The sequence below is a fragment of the Homo sapiens genome, chromosome 7 (genome assembly GCF_000001405.40).
Source record: "Homo sapiens chromosome 7, GRCh38.p14 Primary Assembly".
In the NCBI taxonomy this organism is placed as follows: Eukaryota; Metazoa; Chordata; class Mammalia; order Primates; family Hominidae; genus Homo; species Homo sapiens.
The window spans coordinates 7,803,081-7,827,278 of NC_000007.14; the positions used below are offsets into that span (position 1 = coordinate 7,803,081).

At 37.0% G+C, this 24,198-nt stretch overlaps 1 protein-coding gene across 3 annotated transcripts in view, besides 3 other annotated features; it reads left to right on the forward strand.

The window, feature by feature from the left end:
• The window catches only part of UMAD1 (UBAP1-MVB12-associated (UMA) domain containing 1), a 238,472-nt gene that overhangs the window by 162,329 nt on the left and 51,945 nt on the right, over nucleotides 1-24,198 (forward strand). The window lies entirely within an intron of this gene.
• Nucleotides 13,066-13,255: an enhancer, noted in NCBI's record as "active region_25648". NCBI's record gives its function as "activates an Ori minimal core promoter by ATAC-STARR-seq in GM12878 lymphoblastoid cells {active_cell/tissue: GM12878}" and the evidence as "EXISTENCE:reporter gene assay evidence [ECO:0000049][PMID:35858748]".
• Nucleotides 14,124-14,213: an enhancer, noted in NCBI's record as "active region_25649". NCBI's record gives its function as "activates an Ori minimal core promoter by ATAC-STARR-seq in GM12878 lymphoblastoid cells {active_cell/tissue: GM12878}" and the evidence as "EXISTENCE:reporter gene assay evidence [ECO:0000049][PMID:35858748]".
• Nucleotides 17,854-18,801: an enhancer, noted in NCBI's record as "OCT4-NANOG hESC enhancer chr7:7860565-7861512 (GRCh37/hg19 assembly coordinates)". NCBI's record gives its function as "activates a minimal SCP1, AML or CMV promoter by ChIP-STARR-seq in naive and primed H9 embryonic stem cells {active_cell/tissue: H9 hESC(naive and primed)}" and the evidence as "EXISTENCE:reporter gene assay evidence [ECO:0000049][PMID:30033119]".

Consider the following 24,198-nt stretch of genomic DNA (forward strand, 5'->3'; position numbering starts at 1 on the left):
TGTGCATGGAGCTGAATATATAATGGTGAAAATAGGACACAAGGACATAGAAAAATGTCCATCTTATATGTTGAAGCAACTTGATCTCTTTCATTTATTCAAACATTTGGTGAGGCTGGGCGTAGTGGCCCATACCTGTGGTCCCTGTGCTTTGGGAGGCCAAGGAAAGAGGATTGCTTGAGGCTAGGAGTTTGAGACCGGCCTGGGCAACATTGAGAGACTCATCTCTACAAAAAATTTAAAAATTAGCTGAGTGTGGTGGCACATGCCTGTAGTCCCAGCTACTCAGAAGGCTGAGGTGGGAGAATTGCTTGAGCCCGGGAATTCAAGGCTCCCAGCCTGGGCAGCAGAAACATTTAGTGAGTGCTGGCCATAAGTAGCATCTCTGATAGGAAATAAAAGTTGATATGTTTGGGATTTGGGAGATAACCACCAGGATGGTTCAAAAATCATCCACAATTACTTGAGTTTCGTTGCTTAGTGTCTTCTTTTATATGGGCTGCTACAGCAAAATACCATAAATTGGATACCTTATGAACAACAGAAATTTATTTCTTTAGTTCTGGAGGCTGGAAAGGCCAAGGTCAAGGTGCTGGCAGATTTGTGTCTGGTGAGGGCCCTTTTTTTTTTTGGTTTGCACTCTGGCTGTGTCCTCACATGATAAAGGGAGAACTCTAGTCTCTTCAGCCCCTTATAAGGGCACTAATCCCATTAATGCAGGCTCTCCCCTCCCACCCCCTAATACAGTCGCCTTGGGGATTAGGTTTCAACATACGAATTTTGGAGGGACACAAAGCATTCAGACCATAGCACTTAGTTATGTGATTCATTGGAAATGTCTGCAGAACTTGACTATTTTTCAAAGTTGATTCATTGATAGAAAGAATTCCAAGACTAATTCTTAAGGAAAGATGCTTTTAAGATTACAATCCACAGAGCTTTCAAACAAGCTCATTATTGTGCTACTTTCTAGTCTCTCTATTAATATAGTCAGTTGTTAATCATTAAGGCTGGATGTACATACTCATGCAGTAACAGATGTTTCAAAAGTGCCTTCTATGCAAGTACCGGCTGGGCAATGAGAGGACAGTGTTTGCTATCAGACAGCTCACTAATGTAGAAAAAAAGAAAAGTGGAGTGGGAGACTATAAATGAGACCACAGGGTTAAATCGCAATGCAAGAGGAAAACAATAAAATACTTCTAGAGGCTATATATGTTTTGCCACAGAAAAGCCAAATAGTAATTTACCTTGACAGTAAGCATCTAACATGGGATTTGTTATTCCTCCCCTTTAAAATACAAAAATGAGACTGGGCGTGGTGGCTCACACCTGTAATCCCAGCACTTTGGGAAGTCAAGGTGGGTGGATTGCCTGAGCTCCGGAGTTCAAGACCAGCCTGGGCAACATGATGAAACCCCATCTCTACTAAAATACAAAAAATTAGCCGGGCTTGGCGCCGTGCGCCTGTAATCCCAGCTACTCAGGAGGCTGAGGCAGGAGAACTGCTTGAAACTGGGAGGCGGAGGTTGCAGTGAGCCAAGATTGTGCCACTGCACCCTAGCCTGAGCAAGAGAGCGAGACTCCATCTCCAAAAATAAAATAAAATACAAAAATGAGGCCGGGTGCGGTGGCTCACGCCTGTAATCCCAACACTTTGGGAGGCTGAGGCAGCCGGATCATGAGGTCAGGAGATCAAGACCATTCTGGCTAACATGGTGAAACCCTGTCTCTACTAAAAATACAAAAAATTAGCTGGGCACGGTGGCCTGCGCCTGTAGTCCCAGCTGCTTGGGAGGCTGAGGCAGGAGAATTGCTTGAACCTGGGAGGCGGGGGTTGCAGTGAGCCGAGATCACACCACTGCACTCCAGCCTGGGCGACAGAGCGGAACTCCTTCTCAAGAAAACAAAACAAAACAAAACAAAACAAAACAAAAGTGAAAACACTGCTGAACGCTCGCTACCCTTCATATACTACCTAGATATAGTCAAAAATGAGTCTTATCCAGCCTCCTCGATTTAAATTCTGTGTAGAAGTTGATGACTCCTAAAATATGTCTCTACCTAGACCTCTCCCCTGAGTTCTAGACTCTGTACCCAACTGCCTATGTAACATTTCACTTACAAATTTCTACACAGTTCAGCCTTTCCTTAACCCATAGAAGAACTATTGATACCTGGCCCCACCACCCTGGAGCCTCTCTGTGCCCAAGTTTTAATCATTCCTGTTTAATATCACCACCCTATATCTATATAGTGATTTAGAACCAATTCCCCCTGAGGTACCCTTGGCTCCTGTCTTTCCCTCACACTGCACATCCAGTCTATCAGCAAGTCCTGCCATCTTGCCCTCTATATCCGGAATGTGACTGCTGCTCAACGTCATCACTGTTAGAACAGTCTAAGCCACCCCTTTTACTAGGGCCCCATTCTTTCTCCTCCAGCCCATTCTCCACATAGCAGACAGAAATATGTCAGATCACATCACTCCTTGGCTTAAAAGCTCTATCTACTGTAACTAGAATAAATGCTAAGCTCCTTGCAGTGGGCTACAAGGAACTCCATACTCTCTCTAATCTCATTTTTCTCCCCATCCCCATCCACCAGCCACCTGCCGTTCTGTCTCTTGATGATGTTAAGCCCTTTCCTATCTCAGGCTTTGTATTTGCTAGTCATTTTTTAAACCAGAGCTTCACTTGGCTTCCTCCTTATCATTCAAGTGTCACTTTTCATGACTACCTCAGCTAATGTGTCCTTCCCCCAGTCACTGTCACATAACTCTGTCTTATTTTCTCCATTACACTTAATCACTATGTCGGATTATTCATTTGCTATCTGCTTCTCCTGACTAGAATGAAAACAAACTTTGTATGTCTAGAATAGTGTCTGGTACACAGAAGTTACCCAATAAGTACTTGCTAACTGATCATCTAGATTTTATTTAATGTCTTTGTCCATCTGCCAGGTTAAAGGCCTAAATGTCATTTTGACTCCTTCTTCTCACTCCCTCATTAAATCTATAACCAAGGCCTAATGTTTCTGCCTATCAAATATCTTCCAAATGTGGTTTCTCCTACACCAACTAGGTCCTCATCTGTTCACTAGACTATTATTAGATGAGCAGTTTCTTCCCCAAATCTCTTTCTAAAAAAGAACAGCAGGGTTTTTTTTTTTTTACTTCCCCCCTCTAAAATCCCTTGAAACCTGCACAATGCAGCTGAAACCTTGAACCCTGTTCTAATGTCACTTCCTTTGTGAACCCTTTTCTCTGCTCCCCCAGCCAGAGACAACCCCAATGTCCTCTTAATGCTTAGATTGTCTTTTATGAGTTCACTATAGTGCAGGTTTTTGAAAGGCAGGGGCTATAGCTTAATTAGCTTTATGACCTCAGCAACTATCACACTGTTAGACATATGTGATGTAACATAAATGCCCTGTCAATGATTTCTGGGTAGATAAATGAAAAATAAATAATCCACTTATCTTTATTAAATTCTGTTTTCTACTTTACATAATAAACAGACAGTTGTATCTTTTCTCACCATAAAAAAATTTTCTTGCATTTCTTTGGAGTTATCCATTTAAAAATCTGTTAATTTACATTATTTTTGGCACTCTTACTACATTAGCAGGGAAAAGTTTAATAAATTCAGTTAGCTTTAAATATATATATACATCTGATTAAGAAATCATAACTATTTGCTAACTGGAAAGCCTCTAATTATTTTAATTTTTAATGACTAAGCAATGTTGAAATATTCTCTATAACGAGAACATAATTAGTAAATTAGCATGGGTTCCATAAAGCTTAAAAATAACATTTGTAGTTGCCAAAATATAGCTCAGTTTTCTAAGAACCTTTGGAGAAGGTGGCTTTTAGTATACCGAAAGAGGTTTCTTTTGGCAAGTTCAGATAAACATATAGATTGCCTCTTAGTTTCAAGGGATTGTGTTAGACATGGTGGTAGGGAGGATACAAAGATACCTAAGACCCAGTGACTCTGACTTACTGATGCAGGAATTCTCCATCTATTTGTGGAAAATTTAGCAAATCACTGTACTGTAAAGTGAAATAAAATAAGTTCCTTACGCGTCATAACTACAAAGGTAGCTGTGAGATTTCGATGGAAGAAGGATATTGTCTGGGGGAGTCAAAAAAGGCATCATGCATTAGATGAGCTTTAAACTATGAATAATTTTGTCTACTTGTATGATTAATTTTTTATGATTAAGAAGTTCCTGGGAAATGAAATTCTTCATTAAGAACATTTTAGAAATACAGAAGCAAATCCTAATGTGAAATTGCTTTACACACGTGAATCTCAATGGCTGGTAATAAGGGGTTAAAAAATGAAATGAATGTAGCGTGGCCTATGCTACATTGTAATTTTAATGACAGTTAAAATATTTGTTAAGTGTCTGTGATATTTTTCATTACACGTCATAGCCCAAGTATATTTCAAAACTGTGTTCTCCATTCAAGTACATCTCTCGACCTTATGGAAATTCTAACATCTAGATGGAATAGAATTTAAAAAAGATCTGGTTTGGGCATCAAATAGGTTAGTTTTTACAGAGCTAGATTATGGGATATTTTAGCGCATTTACACGAATGATTGTCTATGGAAAACAGCGTATTTGTATTAAGTAATTTGAGAGACTTTGCAGTTCATGAAAGTGATGATAATTTAGCATTCACTCCAGAAAAATCGAAAGTTTTCAGTACTTCCTGAAGTAGTGTTTGTCTCTTCTTCACCTCCCTGTTTAGGTAGTTTCAGGTTTCTCTCAATAATAAATTAATTAATACTGCATCTACATCATAGTTTCCTATGTATCATCCTAAGATATTATCACCTAAAATAGGGTAACTTTAGGAGACACGTCACTGAACTATCTAATCATCAAAATGTGATTTTTACTAAGTTGTGCATTACTCTGTGTTTTAAGAGTCATTTGTAACTTTTAACAAAGTTCACCATGTTTTTGGTATGGAGAGAGTGAATGTGTATAAATCCATGTTTGGGCTTATTAAAATTAATGTCATTAGACTCTGATATTTGAGGGAAGAGTTACAATTCAACCTAATTATCCAATTAAAGGATTAGACACATCCTTTTCATTCTTCTTTTTTCCTTCTTGCCCTTCTGGGTAAATTTTGATAGTGAGTTGTAATGATGTTGCATCTACTTCTACTGTGTTCTACTAGTCTTGGAGCCTGTAACTTACAGCTCAGGGAGATAAACCTGTAGGGGCCCAGTTTTGAGTTTTTGCCATTATGACTCATCTCTTAAGAGAATAAACATTACATGTAAGCAAGTCGTCATTCTTTTTCAATTTGTAGTCTTGGAAAGTGTTTTATATTGTGAAAACTGGAACCGTATTAGCTAATAATTTACCAGCGGACCTGTTCTTTTTGGCTTTAAGGTGTATTTTGGGAATCGAGAATGTTAGTTTTAGTTTTTAATATAACTATGTCTAATTTTGGTGACTGAATTTTAATCTAGTTTTAGCAGATATTTTTAGGTTGTTTATTTTAAGTGTTGGTTGAACTTAAATTTCTTGTATTTGTAACTGCAGTTTTTTAAAAATTTGAACTTATTTTTGATCTCAAAGACTGAGGGATATTTTTATTTACTTATTTTTATTTACTTAGTGGCTTAAAGATAATAAAATACAAAAACAAGCCAATAAAATGCTCCCCACAAAACCATAATTCCATTTGTGTATTTGTCTTGAGTGATAACGAATTCACATATGCATATGGAGACACATATAAAATAATAACTAACAGATGGTAGAGCTGCAAAGTAGGATTTATAAAGATTATTATCAGCTGGTGGTATTGAGATACTCCTGTGGTTATACTGACAGAAGACACAAAAATTATTTATATTAAGAAACTGGCACTAACACCTTCCCCCAACTTCTGTTACCAAAGTAACTTATTGCATATTTAATATAAATTTCTTAATGAAGAGGTAAAACAATCTTATGGCCAATTTGTACTAGCAAATTTAATAGAGTAGCAGAAATAGTAATTAAGGTAGTAGCAATAACAATAAAAACTGTTTTGCTAAAATTGTTAGGGGCATGATATTTCTAGTAGGTAAAGGAAGGATTTAAGGGACTTTGTTTATTCAGGTAATTTCAAACACACTTCTCAATTTAGTACACAGCGGTCACTTTGGAATATTGTACAATTGTAAACAAAAGCTTGAGTTCTTTTGAGCTAGGTATGGAAGCTGCATTGTATATGAAGCTGCATTATAGAATTCATAGTTCAGTAATTTAGGGAAAAGTTGATTCTTTTGTTCATTTCTTTTTAAAAACTTTTATTTTTAATGGACAAGTAATAATTGCATGTATTTATGGGGTACGGTGTGATGTTTTGACACATGCTTACAATGTGAAATGATTAAATCAGGCTAATTAACAAATCTATCCCCTTACGTGCTTATCTTTTTTCATGGTAAAAACATTTAAAATCTCTTTTAGCAATTTTGAGTATACAGTGTATTGTTATTTATTAAAGTCACCATTCTGTGCATTAGATTACTAAAGCTTATTCTTCCTGTCTTACTGAGACTTTGTCCCTTTTGATCAGCATCTTCCCTTTCCCTACCCACTCCCTTCCCTCAGCCTAAAATTTGATTTTCTGAAAAAAGTATGAGATGCACATTTTAATAAAACATGTTCACTCTTCTTCTGATGTGTTTTCATACATCCATTATGTCTTTCATAGAGCTATAGGAGCCTTCAGATTCTGTAGGGACGCGTTTCCTTGTTGCTTTTATTTCAGATAGTTATTGAAATGAATGAAAATATCCTTGAGATTTGTGAATCCCATGTGATACAGACTTTGGTTACTACTCCTCAAAGAATGGAATAAGATTACTGCATTAAAAACTGGGTTTTGTGTAGAAAGGAATTGGGGACTCAAAGTATAGAAAAAAGGAGACTGGAGGGGGAGATTTTCAAGAACAATTTCAAAAATAGCAACAGTTCTTCTAGTGGATGCCAGGATTTCAGTTTTAAGAATTTTTTAGTACAAAATGGTATATAATAAGTATATTAATTTAAAGCATCGGGGGGTTACAAAGATGATTATGAAACTCTTTACTCACACAAGATATTCATAGTCAAAATACAAATATAATGGATATTGCTATTGAAGGCAGTTTAAATTGGTACAACTATTCTTGGAGAGCATTTTGGCAATAGGTATTAAGAGCCATAAAGATGTTAATATACTTTGACAGTAATTCCACTTTTAGGATTCTGTTCTAAGAAAATAGTCTTTTAAATCCACAAGTTGTATGCTAAAAAAGATGGCATATTCAGTCAGTGCAATATTTTTCAGTTTTTATAAATGACACTGATGATGAGTTTTCAATAAAATATACAGATATAGTACTTAATTTTATAATTTTAGTTAAAAATGCAATATACAAAATTGTATATACAGTATGATTGCTGCTATATAAAAACTATGCAGAAAAAGATGATGTAATACATAAAAACATTAAGAGTACTTGCATTTGGGATGATAGCTACATAGGTTAAATCATTCTTTCCAGTGTTCTGATCTTCCAATTTGTCTATAATGAATGTATCTTATATTTTAAATGATAGTAATGTTGGTGATGAGGAAACAACGTATTCACTCAAGGATAGTTTTTGCAAGAACTATTTTGTGTGATAGTAAAATAGTGAAACAGTCGGTCTGTTGAGAATGATCATGAAGGAGATATGTTGGCACTTTGCTCCCTTGACTCATTTAGGTTTAAGGTCTCTTAATTAGTTGATCACAGAGTACCACATCTGACCACAATTTGTCAAAACATCTGTCCCCTGACACCCAGGGACCTTTCCAGCAGGGAGAAGAGTGAGGTGATTTGGGAGGTTATTCTTCCTATCTCTTTGGAAATCACATGGCCCAAACTTTTCTCATTAATCAACCTGTCAATGTCATTGAATCACTTATAAAGGCATATTTTCCCCCGCAAAAGTGTATGGGTTACTGGCTTGGACACATATTTGTCTAAACATCTCGCTTCTTTCTTTTTATCTATGATGCTGAGACTCCTAATTTAAAGATATGAATTTCTAGCTTTATGATAATTAGCTGATGAGAACATAATTTTATCAAAGACTTGCCAGGATTTTTGTTCATTCTTTGTTTTTCCTAATATAAAACCCTTTCTAATTTCTGATTTCTTTGGATATGAAGCATAGTTAGATTATTGCACTGTGTCATTTGAACAGATAAATTTAATTCTTTGATGTGTTTATCCTCTTATGCAGCATACCTTTTGGTAAGAAGATTTTGTAGAATGCATTTCTCCAACCTTTATTTTCATCTGAATTGCTGGGTCATATAACAAAATAGAAAGTGCACTTTTGTTGGACTCCTTAGCTCACTAAGTATGATCTAGGATATGTTGCTGAGATTTCTTCAACTTCAATTCTTAGTCCATGAAGTCGATGAATTAGGTGCAATGTTTGAGCGCCCTCCCTGCCCAGAAGTCATGACTGTTTACCTCTTTGGAAAGCGAACTGGGGTTTTGCCACAAAATGCCAACCTTTAAAATAATGCTTTGATAGGGGAGAAAGGGAGATGCGAATCTGCTGCTTAATGAAGAGATTTTAGGCATTGATTAATCAAGCTTTATGGCCTGTTGGGTGGGGAAAATTCAATGGTCCTTGCAGGTAAATTGTCAGACTTCAAAAATTACTTCAAAGATTCTTGCTCTTCCTAAGAGTGTTTGTCTTGGGAAATGATAAATTTGGTCACTGGTAGAGAACAATTAAAAATACGTTGTTATTTCTTTTAGTCTATAGGTAATCTTGACTTATTTTACAGTAAGATTAGCACAGGTTGTTTACCCAGAACACTGCCAAGATAAACTTACAGCCTGCTTCTCAAAGTTTGTGAAGGTCTTTTTCGTAACTTCAAATTTGTACATTTTTGTTACCACAACATCTGTATCCTAACTTCACCTTTGCTGGAAAAATTATAATTGAAAGGTCATAATTCTGGTGCTTTCTTCTGGCTTGCATTGGGGTTAACTAGCACACTGAAACATAATGTTCATTCACCCTAGCCAGTGAGTCCAAACCATGTGAGGTGTATGAGAGCAACCCTGTTTCCATCCAAACTGCACATATGGTGTGGGTAAGCCAGTAATGTGAGTTTTATGCAATGTTTCTGCTCATGTACACAGTCTGTTGCTCAGCACCAATTATTCCCTGCCAGAAACCCGCTAACCTGCTGCTTTTGTACCTCTGCTGGATGAAGTTAGGTAGCTTAAAATGACCACAATGATATTTATTTAACTTTAGCAATCTTTGTTTGTTAAAGTTATGTAACTTTAAGTGCCCAACACATCTGTTGATTGATCACAATTGATTGCAATTAGAATCTAAGAACTGGAACATTGTTACTGCAGTTTGTGGAGATACACATGTGTTAATTATATATATTTAGAAGGAGGAATCAAAATGTGGAAATACTAGCTTTTTGTTTATCAAATCTAGTTTTATGTCTTCAATTGAGATATTATTATTTAAAAAACGATATATAATATTCTGTTTATACTTTGGTAGTCACCTTGTTGTCATTGTTTCCAGTTTCTACTTTTATAGCTTTAAAAACCACAAAATCAGCAGGGTGAGAGGTCCATGTTGGGAGAACAACTGTTCCCTATTTCACACAGCCATCTTTTTTTTTTTTTTCAAATTCTGTTTTTTAATTAGTGGCAAATGGTCCTTATTTTGTCCTCCTTTGGTTTATATTACCATTACAACTTCTTGAGACTATATAGAGAGCTTAAGTGCAGCCATTTTTATGATGTCTTCCGACCACTAGAGATTCCTTCTTGAAGGATAAATTTCATCTGAATCTTCAGGCAGTGGAAAAGTAACATGTAGGTATGCACCTGGTCTAACTGACATTATCTGAATATTCCACTTTGTACCTACTGAGGAGTCTTCTTATGAACATGCCTACATGAGTGCACCAGCATGAATACATAGAAAAAAAATTATACTTTAGCTTAGTACAATTTACGTAGATTTTCCATTTTTCTCCAGGCGTAGCCAGCCCCATTCCTTACTATGTGCCAGGTTTCTTTGTTGTTGTTGTTGTTGTTTTTAGATGGAGTCTCGCTCTGTCGCCCAGGCTGGACAACCTTGGCTCACTGCAACCTCCACCTCCTGAGTTCAGGCGATTCTCCTGCCTCAACCTCCCAAGTAGCTGGGACTACAGGCATGCGACACCACGCCTGGCTAATTTTTGTATTTTTTAGTAGAGACAGGGTTTCACCGTATCGGCCAGGCTGGTCTCGAACTCCTGACCTCATGATCCGCCTGCCTTGGCCTCCCAAAGTGCTGGGATTACAGGCATGAGTGACTGCGCCCAGCCCCTTTTTCTGCCTTTTTATGCCACTTGCAGAGGGAGAAAAGATTGGTGTATGCTACACGTAAGAGCACAGTGATAGTGTACTGAAGTACCATTTACATTAAAAAAAAGCATATGAAAACTTTCTCACAACTTTTTAGCTGAGAAGTTGGTAAATGGTTGTATAACCCTACTTTTTAAGATGGTTTCTCTTGGAAAATAGTTTGAAGAACATGCTGTTTATTTGTTCATCGAGATATTCTGGCATTTATGACTAGCTCAAACCAACCCATCGGAGAGCTGTATATTTCTACCTCATTGCCTTAGTCCTGCACAGATTGCCTTCCTTGTACTGTTGTTCAGTTTGATTGAATAACTTGGTGAGAAACTGCTGTGTGGAATTTACTGATATTTATTATGGAGGTGTTACTAAGGCATTGTCAACTACATTAGATAGTTTCCCATGTGAAGTCCTACTTAGGTATTCTAATTTCATATTGCTTTTTATTTATTTTTTTTTTTTGAGACGGAGTCTCGCTCTGTTGCCAGGCTGGAGCACAGTGGCGTGATCTCGGCTCACTGCAACTTCCGCCTCCCAGGTTCAAGCGATTCTCCTGCTTCAGCCTCCCAAGTAGCTGGGACTACAGGCACCCAACACCACGCCCAGCTAATTTTTTTGTATTTTTAGTAGAGATGTATTTTCACCATGTTGGCCAGGATGGTCTTGATCTCTTGACTTTGTGATCCGCCTGCCTCAGCCTCCTGAAGTGCTGGGATTACAGGCGTGAGCCACTGTCATATTGCTTTTATACTAACAAAATATTTTGTTTTTCTTGAGGTGGTAATAGTCTCTTTTTCTCATGGCCATTGTAAATTTTGTGCCTAACTTTGTTTTTTCCCATTTTCCATTGGCTAGGGGGAAGCTCAGACCTAAATTTACAGTTCAGTTTTAGTAACTATTTAAGACCTTATGAGATATGCATCTGCTTGCTTTATTTTCCTCTCACCTGATGCTCCTGTTCTATATTTTTCCTGGACGTAATTTTTAAATTTATTGTGAGTCTTTTTAGTTGCCTCATTCATTTTGTAGAGGAAAGGGTTAAAATATATTCCTATATGTAAGTATATTTATGTAATACTTCTACAAAATATATTTATATTTAGAGTGTACTTTTTATTTTAATAGGTTGTAAGTGGTATACATAACCTCTAATTTTAATCATCTTTTGCTCCTCTTTCAAATCTCTGATAAAATCATACATAGGGGTTTGACTGCGAGAACGTGTGTGACATTGAGTACCTTCCTTAACCTGTCTCTCCCATGCCTCAGGTGGAGTATGGCAGTCAGCTACACACTTACCTCCAGTGCGATGTGATTTCTTCAGGGTCCTTATTGATTTGAAGATGCAGGTGAAAGGAGCCTCCTTTCCAGGTCATCAACCTTGCCAAGCTGCTTTCGGGCAGGGTGTACCGCAGGCATCTTGCAAGTCTCACTACTTGTCACATCAGCCACTTCATGGTCTCCCTTCTGTATACACTTTCAATCCTAGATATGCTTTTTAGATGGCTTACCAGTTGGATTTTTGATATCAGTATAGAGGATGTAGGACAAGTGCCTTTCTAACTTAGAGAGAAAGATTGTCTCGGGAGTGATGGTTCCTCACAGTGGCAGATTTTCATAACCCTTGCTGTAGTATGGATAGCTGTAAGAATGTGAACTGTATCAGACAGACTTGTAGCTCAGATCTTGGCTTTACCACTTATTGTACAGGGTTACTATAAGAATTTGGTGAGTCAATATGTAATATTTATTTGTATGTCTATATACACAGTATCTGATGTATACTAGATACTCAGTAAGTATTAGTTTCTTTTTAGATTGGAAGGAAATTATGGTTAATGCCTTAAAAATCATGCCAGAGTAGAGTAGAATTGATTAAATCATTTAGGAATTATGCTCAATTGAGAGTTACAGTAAAAGGCAGGGGTTTAATTTGGGGCTTAATTTTTCTCATGTGACAAGAAGTCTCATAGAAGGTAGTTAAAGTATTGATTCAGGAGCTCAGGAATGTTAAGACCAAAGTCCTATAGTTCCTCATAGTTGCAAGTTAGCTATTGCAGCTCCAGCCATCATATCTATTTTCCAGGAAGCAGGAAGGAGGAAGACAGCAAAGGGAGAATAAAACTGTGTCCAGAAACTTTTCAAAAAATCTCTAACAGTTTTACTGGCCATATTATAACATATGGCCACCCCTAGTGGCACGGGAGCCTGGTAAGGAGCCTACTTTAGCTTGGTACTTTGCTACTACCCCCAGAAAAATCAGGATTCTATTAAAGATGAAAGGAAGGATGAATATTGGGTAGGCTACAAGAGGTCTCTGACATAGATATCAACCTATTTTGCTTTTAGAAGGTTCATTTGTCCAACAATAGATATCAGTGGAGGTGGGGGAGGACAAATAGAGAGAAGCATTCATTAGTGATGCCTGGATTCTATTTAGGGCCACGAAGTCTTTGAGTAGTCATAGTGGGACAAGAAATAAAGAAGGACATTAATTTAAAAAAAAATCTTGGATAAGCTAAGCACAATGCTGGTAGGACCTTTACATGTATTAACTCATTAATTTTTACAGACGAGGTAGGCAATATTATCTATATATCTTATAGAGGAGGAAACCAAGGCTCAACAATACCCATTTCCCAAGGTCACAAAAAAAACAGTAACATTAATGGAACCGGAATTGAGACTTGCGCCTGACTAACCACAAAACCTATGCTTTGCATCGTGTTGTTTTCCTGTCTCCACTATATAAATAACGCTGCAGAAACCTGCTGTTTCACTTTGCTTCTCTTTTCCGTAGTGCCTTCTCCTGTGAGGTCCACAATAACTATATATTGACTTCAATGATTTGTGTGCAGAACTAAACTGAGTGTTCTATAAAAGATTGCTGCTGTTAGTTGCTGAAGGCTGTAGAGATGAGGCCGGGAGAGGAAGAAGTGGTGCTTCTCTCTTATCACCGCCACTCAGAGGTGGGAATGACTGCCTTGGGATATATGCCACCAGTGTCGGTAGCATTCAAGGACATTCTTTGGGACAAAGAGAATGTGGCAAAGCAGCAGTGACCAATCTGAGTGAGCCAAAGTCCAAAAGGAAAGCTGATAGAATGAGTTGGCATGGAGGTGTATCTTCTCAAGTCAGAAGCCTGGGAATTATCTTTGACTTCTTCCTCTTTCATTCTCAACCCAATTGATCACCAATCACTTTATTTCTACCTCCTCTGGCTACCTTGCTTATCTGTCCTTTCCTCTACCTCCCCACTGCAACTACAGTGGTTCTGGCCTTATCTTTCACATGGATTATTACAAAGAGTTTTTGTAATAGCCCTTAATGCCCAGTCCTACTTTCATTCAATCCATTCACCCACAAATCTGACCATGTAGTTGCCTTACTTGATGGCATCAGAGGCTCTTCAGCTGCCTGTAGGATAAAATCCAGTAATTTGTGTCTACTGTGCATATATGGTCCTTCGTGGTCTGGTCCTGCTCCTCTGTGTAAACGTTCAGGTCTGTTCTGTGTCACCATACAGAGTTTCTTACCATTTCTTGAGTATATTCCTTTCTCTTGAAGTTTGTGCAATTTCTGTCACTTCTCTGAAGAACTTTATCCCATACGTCTTGTGTTCACTGAGCAAATTCCTGTTCATCCTTCAAACCCCTGCTCAAATATCTTTCATCTTCAATGCCATTTAGTCTCCCCTCTGGTCCCTTAACACCTTGTACATCTGACCAGGAGTGCCATGAAGTGGGGATTCGGGTTGACTCATCATTGTTCCCTGTGCGTGGCATGCATCAGCCACTCAATAAATATTTAATGTTTGATGTGTGCAGGAACAGTCAGACTAGACAAAAGACAGAAGAACTTGTTATCTAAGTATTACTCTTAACCATGAAAAGCTCTAACTTTGGATAACCTCCTTACCTTTCGGTGCTAGAGTAATGGGAATATATTTGAAACATTACTTCATCTCTCCGAAGTGAATTATTCTCACCAGGTTCTTAACAGTTTCTGTTAGTTTTTCAGGTTATGTTTAATAATTCCCATGATACCAGCTGAATGATGATTCTAATTCTCAAATCCTAAAGTGACTCTTGCCTCTCTTGTCCAATTTAACCTGCCACATTGATTTTTTATTTGTTATGTATTATGACTTTCCTCAAAACTTGGTTGTATTTTGGATTTTCTTTTCTGTATCTCATCCGTTTTTGCATCCGTTCCTGACTAAAGACACATTTTCAATGGTACTTTTTACCTTTTAGATGTTTCAGTATGTTCCCCCCACCCCCTTTTCTTTGAGACAAGGTCTCACTCTGTCACCTGGGCTGGAGTGCAGTGGCATGATGTCAGCTTACTGCAACCTGCACCTTCTGGGCTCATGTGATCTTCTCACCTCAGCCTCTCGAGTCACTGGGACTATAGGCATGTGACACCAGGCTCAGCTAATTTTCTTTTTAAACTTTCAGGTTCAGAGGTACATGCACAGGATGTGCAGGTTTGTTACATAGGTAAACATGTGTCATGGGGGTTTGCCATACAGATTATTTCACCCATGTATTAAGCCTAGTAGTACTTAGTTATTTTTTCTGCTTCTCTCCCTCCTCCCACCTTCCACCCTCTGATAAGACCCAGTTGTTCCCCTCTATGTGTCTGTGTTCTCATCATTTTAACACCCTCTTATAAGTGAGTACATGCTGTACTTGGTTTTCTGTTCCTGCATTAGTTTGCTAAGGATAAAGGCCTCCAGCTCCATCCATGTCCCTGCAAAGGATATGGTCTTGTTCTTTTTTATGGCTACATAGTATTCCATGGTTTATGTGTACCACGTGAACAGACACTTTGCAAAAGACATACACCTGTCCAACAATCATATGAAAAAAAGCTCAACATCACTGATCATCAGTGAAATGCAAATCAAAACCACAATGAGATACCGTCTCACATCAGTCAGAATGGCTATTAATAAAAAGTCAAAAAATAACAGATGCTGGCAAGGTTAAGGAGAAAAGAGAATGCTTATATACTGTTGGTGGGAGTGTAAATTAGTTCAACCATTGTGAAAGACAGTGGTGATTCCTCAAAGACCTAAAGACAGAAATACCATTTGACCCAGCAATACCTTTACTGTATATACCCAAAGGAATATAAATCATTCTATTATAAAGACACGTGCACACTTATGTTCATTGTAGCACTATTCACAATAGCAAAGACATGGAATCAACCTCCATGCCCATCAGTGAAAGGCTGGATAAAGAAAACATGCTAATTTTTGTATTTTTTGTAGAGACAGGGTTTTGCTATGTTGCCCATAGTTTTTCCTCTGTTTTTTTGAGACGGAGTCTTGCTCTGTTGCCCAGGCTAGAATGCCATAGCACAGTCTCTGCTCACTGCAGTCTCCACCTCCCAGGTCCAAGCGATTCTCCTGCCTCAGCCTCCCAAGTAGCTGGGATTGCAGATGCATGCCACAACACCCAGCTAATTTTTGTATTTTTAGTAGAGACGGGTTTTCACCATGTTGGCTAGGCTGGTCTCGAACTCCTGACCCCAGGTGATCCACCCACCTCAGCCTCCCAAAGTGCTGGGATTACAGGCATGAACCACCTTGCCCGGCCCTCTCCTCTTATTTTTAAGCAGTGATTCCTAAGGGTAAATTTGTGTATGATTTTTAGCCCCATAGTACAGGACCTTCTTGCACAAAAATTAGGAATTTGACAAAATAAGTAAATGACAAGCATCTGAAGATTTTCTTCAAACCATGAATATATTACTTCTCAAAATTTTAAGCCCCCATTTTTGATGTATCAAATAACATTCAGCAGTTGTTTATATTACGCTGTATCTGGTAAGTTGTAGGTAATTACTAGAAGAATATAAGATTCTTGAGAGCTGCATAAATGTGATTTCTGCAGGGTCTCTTTAGGTATGCTATGCTATACACACGCTGGGAGCCTGCAGAAATCACACATACACAAAAGGGCCACTGAATCAGATCTGAAAGAGGAGGGCCATTTTGAGTTGGATAAAGCTACGTGTATATTACTTGTTTTTTCCACGCCTGTTGACATGGAGAACCAAAACCGGTGTTTCGTGCTTTCAACAAAAATAGTTTTAGTTTTGCTCTGAAAGAAAAATGGGTTCACATTCTGAAAAAGGTGATTTTGTCACCAGAATATCTGATGAGTAAATCTGCATTTGCATTTTTATCATTGCCTAACTAAAACCTGTTCAGTTTGGTTAATAAATTATTAATACAGTTCTCTAACTTCTCATCCGGGTACACTGTTGAAATAGCAGACCATCCCATTTATTTCACCAAATATTTCTTATACACCTATTTTGGATGAGGCTCTGTTAAACTCTGTTCTCCATATCTGAAAATGTATGGGTTATTACTCTGCCAAAGATTTGTGGTTAAAAAAATTGTGTTAAGTTCTAAGACTCATCATATCAAGATCAAGCAAAACAATTGACCATGACTAACTTTGGGGTTGAAGGCTACAACTATGTCTTTTAGAGGTAGTTGTCACTCAGGCAAATTTTAGGGCATCACAGGGCTAAACATTAATTAACCAAATGAATCAGTTTTAACCACTGCTTTTCCTCAATTCAGTTAAGGGTTAAGGAGTTACTAATACAGAAAGATGGTGATACAGGAGAGTATGAGAATTATTGATTAAATTATAGATAAATTATAGACTAAAGCATAGTAATATGAGAATGTTTCATTTTCTGACGTATTTAACTTAATTACCTAATCTCATTAGAAGTGATTAAGATGAATACTCAGCTTGTATCTCAAGATCTTTTTAGGTATTGATTATAGCATCTATAAGTCCACTGACTTTTTGGTTTCTACATGCATTGCCTGGCAGTATCAGTCAGTTCACAATTCAAGTTGAAATTAAAATTTTCTAACAATAAATGAGAAACAAAAAGTAACATTTATTTTAAAATATTATGTCTTTTAAATTTTGAATATTCAGATTTGAGGATTGAATACTGGCACCTCTCTGTCACTTATGTTTTGCTAATGATCATCTATGCTTCAGCTCCTCAAAATGGCCTGTCAGGTGTCAGTTTAGCATGCGAGACTTTAAGCTGTCTTTTGTAGTTTCATAAGGGCCAAAGAGCTTGTTAGCCTGGAATTTAGTGTATTTTGGTACTCATTTGCTTTTAGTTATTCTTTTCTTGATTTTTTTTCAAACTCTTCTCATGAGGAAAATGTACAATTCCTACCAATTAGTCATAAGCCAGTTTGGATTTAGGAATTGCATAGTTTATTACTTTGAAATATTATTTTATTCAAATATTTAGCAAATAGTAAAGATGTGAATATTTCACTGAATGTTGGGTGATTTGGCTGATAATTAGATCCTCAGAGAAAAACTGAAACTCCTGAAGTTTGTTGCAGAATCTGAAAAGTAACCAGGAAAACAGTAGTTTAATATGTTAAGTACTAGTTATTAATGAAAATTAAGCGTGACTTTTTTAGGATTCAATTCCTGTTTTTAGTGGTATAGCTTTCTGGTATTTTGTAGCTTACTGTGTTCATGAACACAAAAGAACAAGTAACCTCACTAGTGGCTTGAGATCTGACTCGCAGGAAAACATTAGGTAGTAATTAAAACAAAGCTTTCCCCCCACCCCCAAGTTTGTGAAATTTTAAGCACACTGCCTAATGCAGTCACCACTTGCCGCTTGTGGCTATTGAGCACTTGAAATGTGACTAGTCTGTATTCAGATGTAAAATACATGCTGGGATTCAAAGACTTAGTATGAAAAAAAGGATTGTAAAATATCTGAATATTTTATATTAGTTACATGTTGCCATGATAATGTTTTTGATATATTGGATTTAAAAAAGAATATTAAAATTAATTTCACCTGTTTAACTTTCTTAATGTGGCTATCAAAAAATTTAAAATTATATGTGTTTCACCTCACTGATTTATTGGACAATGCCAGTCTAATAGATTTAAAAATTCTTAATATGTACAGTAAATATCAGATATTAAAAGCTTATATGATTTGGTTTTTAACCTCTGAACAGTCAATTCTTTGGAAATCTGAGAAGCCCAATTATTCTTTGGTCTCTTCAAGGGCTCCAGGTTGAAGCAGCTGTTCTTTGAAATTGCCAGTCCTGATTCAGTTGACTAATAGCAATCGATAGATACGGAAGGCTAAGTACTGCTTTGCGGTTGTGCAGCCAAATGAGTGAACTGTACCTACTGTTTCTCTCCTTTCTGCCTCTTCCCCTGATGGCTTTTATGTGGTTGTTAGTATTCAGTTGATGTTTATGGTAACATAAATCTAAATTGGTTTTCAGAGACCCAATTCATGTTTTACTATATCCCATAAATTATGTCATAAATTACCATGGCTGACCATCTTATTTACAACCCTTGAGTAATAATCTATCACTTATTATATTATTACATATTACTGTAATATTACATTAATATTACTTATTAGTAAACAAAAATGAGTTGTTGATGTGCTTTTGTATGATATCAGCCAAAGCAAAACCTACATATGGTAGGAACTGGAAAGCAAGCATTTATTAATAATCAGCCTCTCTTTTCCAGGGGGGTTTAGCTATTTACCTGTGAAAAGCTTGTGTACTTTATTTAAAATTTTTGATGTATGTATTGTTTGACAAAAACTTAAAGGGTTTGGGCGCACTGAGAATAGTACAGTGAAGTCACACTGTATGAAAAAGAGAGAGGCAGTTGGGTAAATGCTGATAATAATGAAATCTGTAAGGTCAGTCTGTGAAGATAAATGTAATATTTGAATTAGTCATCTAGTTTCTCTGAAAAGGTAGTAAGTTAATCTTGTTCCAAAAAAAAACAACCCGAGCCTGGTCGTTTTGTTTTTCATGCCTTTCATCTTGGGCAATCTTTTGTATATCATGCAAAGGACCATACAATTAGCATGAAATGAGAGAGCGCTTTTTAAATTTGATGAATAAGGGCTCTTTTTCTTCAGCTGATATGCATGCAAGGTGGAGGTCTATATCCCACCAGCACACAGACCACTTGGTATCTGCCCTGTAAGTAGCTCTCAGTTTATATCTGTGCCTTAATGAGGAAAGGGTTCTGGAAGTAATAAAAGTAAGCTTAAAATGCATCAGAAATAGCCATAACGCTTTAGTGTAAATACAGAAAAATTCCTAGATTTGAACAGTTCGGCTTCCTACCTTGCTTGGATTCCAGAGATGCCCCTGTCATTCTCTTTTTCTAGCAATCAATTGAAGACATATTAGTAAGACTTCTATGAAGACGAAAAACTTTTTTTTTTTGGTTGTCTTCTCTGTCATTTATAATGAAAATATGCTTTGTTAACAAGTTTTTTTTAGGTGACATGTGTTTAGAAAAATTTTCATGCCTCTATATTTTTATGGGCTGTTTGCTTTTCAGAATACTTGTCTGTGAGGTTATAGTGCTAATATGTGTCAATGAACATTATTTATTCTTTCTTTAAGGTTTTAATATTCTGTTTTATTGATTAGGAGTGCTCCTCCCTTGATGTTTTATACAGAGCACAGTACTTAAGAGATGAGATCCCAATGTTGTTGGGAAAGTTTTTATAATTAGTCATTTAAGCTCACACTTTTATATTGTTGTGCTTCATAATCCCCTAATATGTAGTTAATAACACTCCTTATTACATAAAGGAAGCCAAAATGTCACCCCCAAAAAGATAAATAGGTCATTAATTCAGCCAACTTTTTTCCCTTAACTATGATTGCCAGATTTAGCAAATAAAATTACTGGATGCCCAGTTAAATTTGTGTTTCAGATAAACAATAAATAATTTTTTAGTATGTTTGTCTTGTGCAATATTTGGGTTATACTTAGACCAAAAAAAGTTATCTATATTTGATCTGGCAACCCCCGCCATAACTCAGCCCTCTTATTAACTCAAAGAATTCCCAAGTCTGGCAAATGTGATGTTTGGCCCTCCTGCACTCCGTTTGCCCAATTTTTTTGAAGCCCAAAGTGCCTCAGGTATGCTTTCTCATTTGTCCACATGTCTTTTGGGAGATAGGAATTGGGAATTGGGCAGGCTCTATTCACATCTTACCTACTTTTCATTTTTTAAAAAAGAGAAAATGCTTTCTTTTTTATTTTTGAAAAACATATTAGCGTATATATTTCTGGATAATTTTCACAATAATATGTTTAAAGATGGTAATAAGGATGATTTAAAGACAGATTTCAATATGAGAAATCTAATGCATCCCCTCTCCATTCCCTTTAGGTGAAAAATGCTTCCTTGTAAAGTGATAATATTGATTCGTAAAGCTAAGAAGACACCTACAGCAAAAAGCTTCAGCTTCTCCTTCTCACATCTCTTTATTTTTGGTTCATTTAGTATTAAATGCCTAGCAGTATAATCCCAGACAAAAACCTTTGAAAGAGTGAATTCATAGAGAACGTGCATTTCCTGGGTGCCTTATAAACAATGTTGAGGGCAAGTGGATAAAAAGTGACTATTCCAAACAACAAACATTACCATCAGCTGAATGATTTTTAACCTTCCTTTCCTTTCCCTCCCGCACCTCCCACCTTGCCCTCCGCTCCACAGAATCAGAGAGGAACCACTTGTAACTTGCATGTCCTCATCCTTTGTCATCTGGATTATTACTAAGGCTTCCCAGGTGATATTCCTTCCTCCAGCCTCACTCCATTCCAAGTACCCCGGCTCACCTTCAGTAACTACTTATCAGATAAAATCCAAGTTGATTAGCATGGCATCCAGCACCCTCCCTGATCTGTGTTCTAATTAATTCCCCCTTCTTTTACTTCTTCCTCAGTGCTCAATGCTACAGCAATAACAAATATTTGTCATACATAAAACATTCATATCATCAGGTTTTGTTCATTTTTCCCTCTGACTGCAATGCATATCCTCTTTCATCTCCATAGCAAAATCCTATCATCCTGGAAAATCCTGTTTAGGTATCATTCCCTGTGTGAGGCTTTCTCTGACCACTCTTCATCATCCTTAGAATGAATTCTGCTATCCTACTTGAGCTTTTGTATCCACTTGTGGTACCACATGCTTCACAGTGTTTTGTCATGGTTTATTTACATGACAATCACCAGTAGAAGTTTGGAAGATTTTTGAAGATAGGACACTATCATCATCATTTTGAATCTCTACTATCTAGTACTAACCCACAAATAACAAGCACTTGAGAAATGTTTGAGTGCCTGAGTGGATCAGCTTTCCACTTGGTAAAACTTTAGGTAAATTTCATCCTGTTAAACTGGTCCTGTGTATTAGCCGCTCACTTACCACCATTTGTCTCTCTTTCACATCAATTGGTGAATAGAAAAATGGCTCTTGATTTTTCACCAGGATAGCTAGTCCACCTATGCTGTTTATTAGTTAACTGGGTTTTGTTTTTTTGTTTTTGTAGAATAAATAAAGTAGGCCCATATAGAGGGGTGGTCATGGGTAGCATTATGTAACAGAGGTGTAAGTTTGCCTTTGGCACACTTTCCATTCAGGTTTGTAGCTCTCCTTTCAGTTTTTATATCCTTGACCTCTAAGGCTGCCTGTCAATATCTTAGAGATGGGAATAGAGTGGATAGGAGGTGGGCGCAGGGGGGAGTGTAATCTTCCTACAGGAAAACTTTTCTATTAATATCTTGTGTTCCATCCCCTCAGGGCCTACCCATCACTGAAGTTAATTAATAAGTCCATTCACAACGAGATAGTCAATTATATTGATACGTTAAAGTGTAACTCTTCTCAGATAGCATTTTTATTTTTACAGAAACTTTAAATCCATCTGTATTAGTCCATTTTCATGCTGCTGATAAAAACATACCTGAGACTGGGCATTTTACAAAAGAAAGAGGTTTTAGGACTTACAGTTCTGCATGGTTGGGAAGGCCTCACAATCATGGTGGAAGGCAAGGAGGAGCAAGTCACATCTTACATGGATGGCAGCAGGCAAAGAGAAAGAGCTTGTGCAGGGAAATTCCCATTTTTAAAACCATCAGATCTCATGAGACTTATTCACTATCATGAGAACAGCATGGGAAAGACCTGCCTCTTCCCACAACATGTGGGAATTCAAGATGAGATTTGAGTGGGAACACAGCCAAACCATATCACCCTATTTCCAAAGAATGAATAATATTGGCATGATATATTTTATAACAAATATGCACTTTACAGTACCAAGGAAAAAGGTGTTTGTGAAAAAGCTGAGGACCTTTTAATCACCACTCAAATAGGATTCCCTAGATTGTGCCTATAACGTGTATAATTGTCCCTCAGTATATAGGGGATTGGTTCCATGACCTCTGCAGATACTAAAATCTGAGGGTGCTCAAGTCTCAGGTATAAAATGGGCACAGTATATGCATATAACTTACACACATCCTTTCCTATACTATAAGTCATCTTTAGATTACTTGTAAAAGTTAATATAATGTAAACGCTATATAAATAGTTGTTATGATGTAGTGTTTTTAAAGTTATACTTTATTGTTGTATTGGTTTTTTTCTAATAATTTTGATCAGTAGTTGGTTGAATCCATGGATATTGAACCTAAGGATACAGAGGGCTGACTGTATGTACATGGATGAATCAGAAATTGCATTTGGCTGAAAGTAATTGATATTCCTGAACTGGTGGCCTTAACAAAACAGGGGTTTGTTTTTCTTTATCTAGAAATGTCTCACGTTAGGCAATTGAGGGCTGATAATAGTGGCTCCATGATACTAACAGTTTCCTCAACTTTTTCTCTTTCTGCATCACCACCTTTAATTTTTGAAGATAGGACACAATCATCATTATTTCGATTCTCTAGTATCTAGTACTAAGTCTCACAAATGACAAGCACTTGAGAAATGTTTGAGTGCCTGAGTGGATCAACTGTCCACTTGATAAAACTTTAGGTAAATTCCATCCTGTTAAACTGGTCCTGTGCGTTAGCCACTCACTTCCCACCATTTGTTATTTCTTTCGCCTCAATTGGTGAATAGAAAAATGGTTCTTGATTTTTCACCTGGATAGCTGGTCTACCCATGCTGTTTATTAGATGTGTGATTTTTATATATCAGATTGCCTCTAGATTACAAGATGGTCACTGCATCTTCAACCATAGCAGGAGGGGACTAGGGTAAAACCCACCCCCCTTTAAGTAATTTTCTGAAAGCCCCATATAACAGCTTTCATTTACATCTCATTGACTATATCTATCAGCAAGGAAGGCTCAGAAATGTTAGCTAGGCACATTGCCACCCCATCACCATACTTACCTGTAATTAAAGAAGAAGAAGAAACGTCCACCAATACACAACTACTAATCTTATAACAATTCAAATTTTGCCTTTATGGATCATTCAATTCAAAATAATTAGAACTAAAATTTAGTTTATTTTCATTAATATTTAGAGAACATTCCATAAGATGCAGTTACTTTAATGAATTATAAGGAATTATAAGACTATTCAGAAAATATTTATAGTATGCCCCATTTGCATAGTGCTGTGCTCAGTGCCAAAGAAGATGGATTAATTCTTTTTCCCCTGAAGTGTTTTATCAGTCTCACAGTCCAGGATATATATATATATATATATATATATGTGTGTGTGTGTGTGTGTGTGTGTGTGTGTATCACATGAAAATTTAAATAATGGAATATTATAGCATATGATTTTGTGTTAATCATGTAGTAAAAATAAAATCACGTAGTGTAGACTAAATTCTATAGGA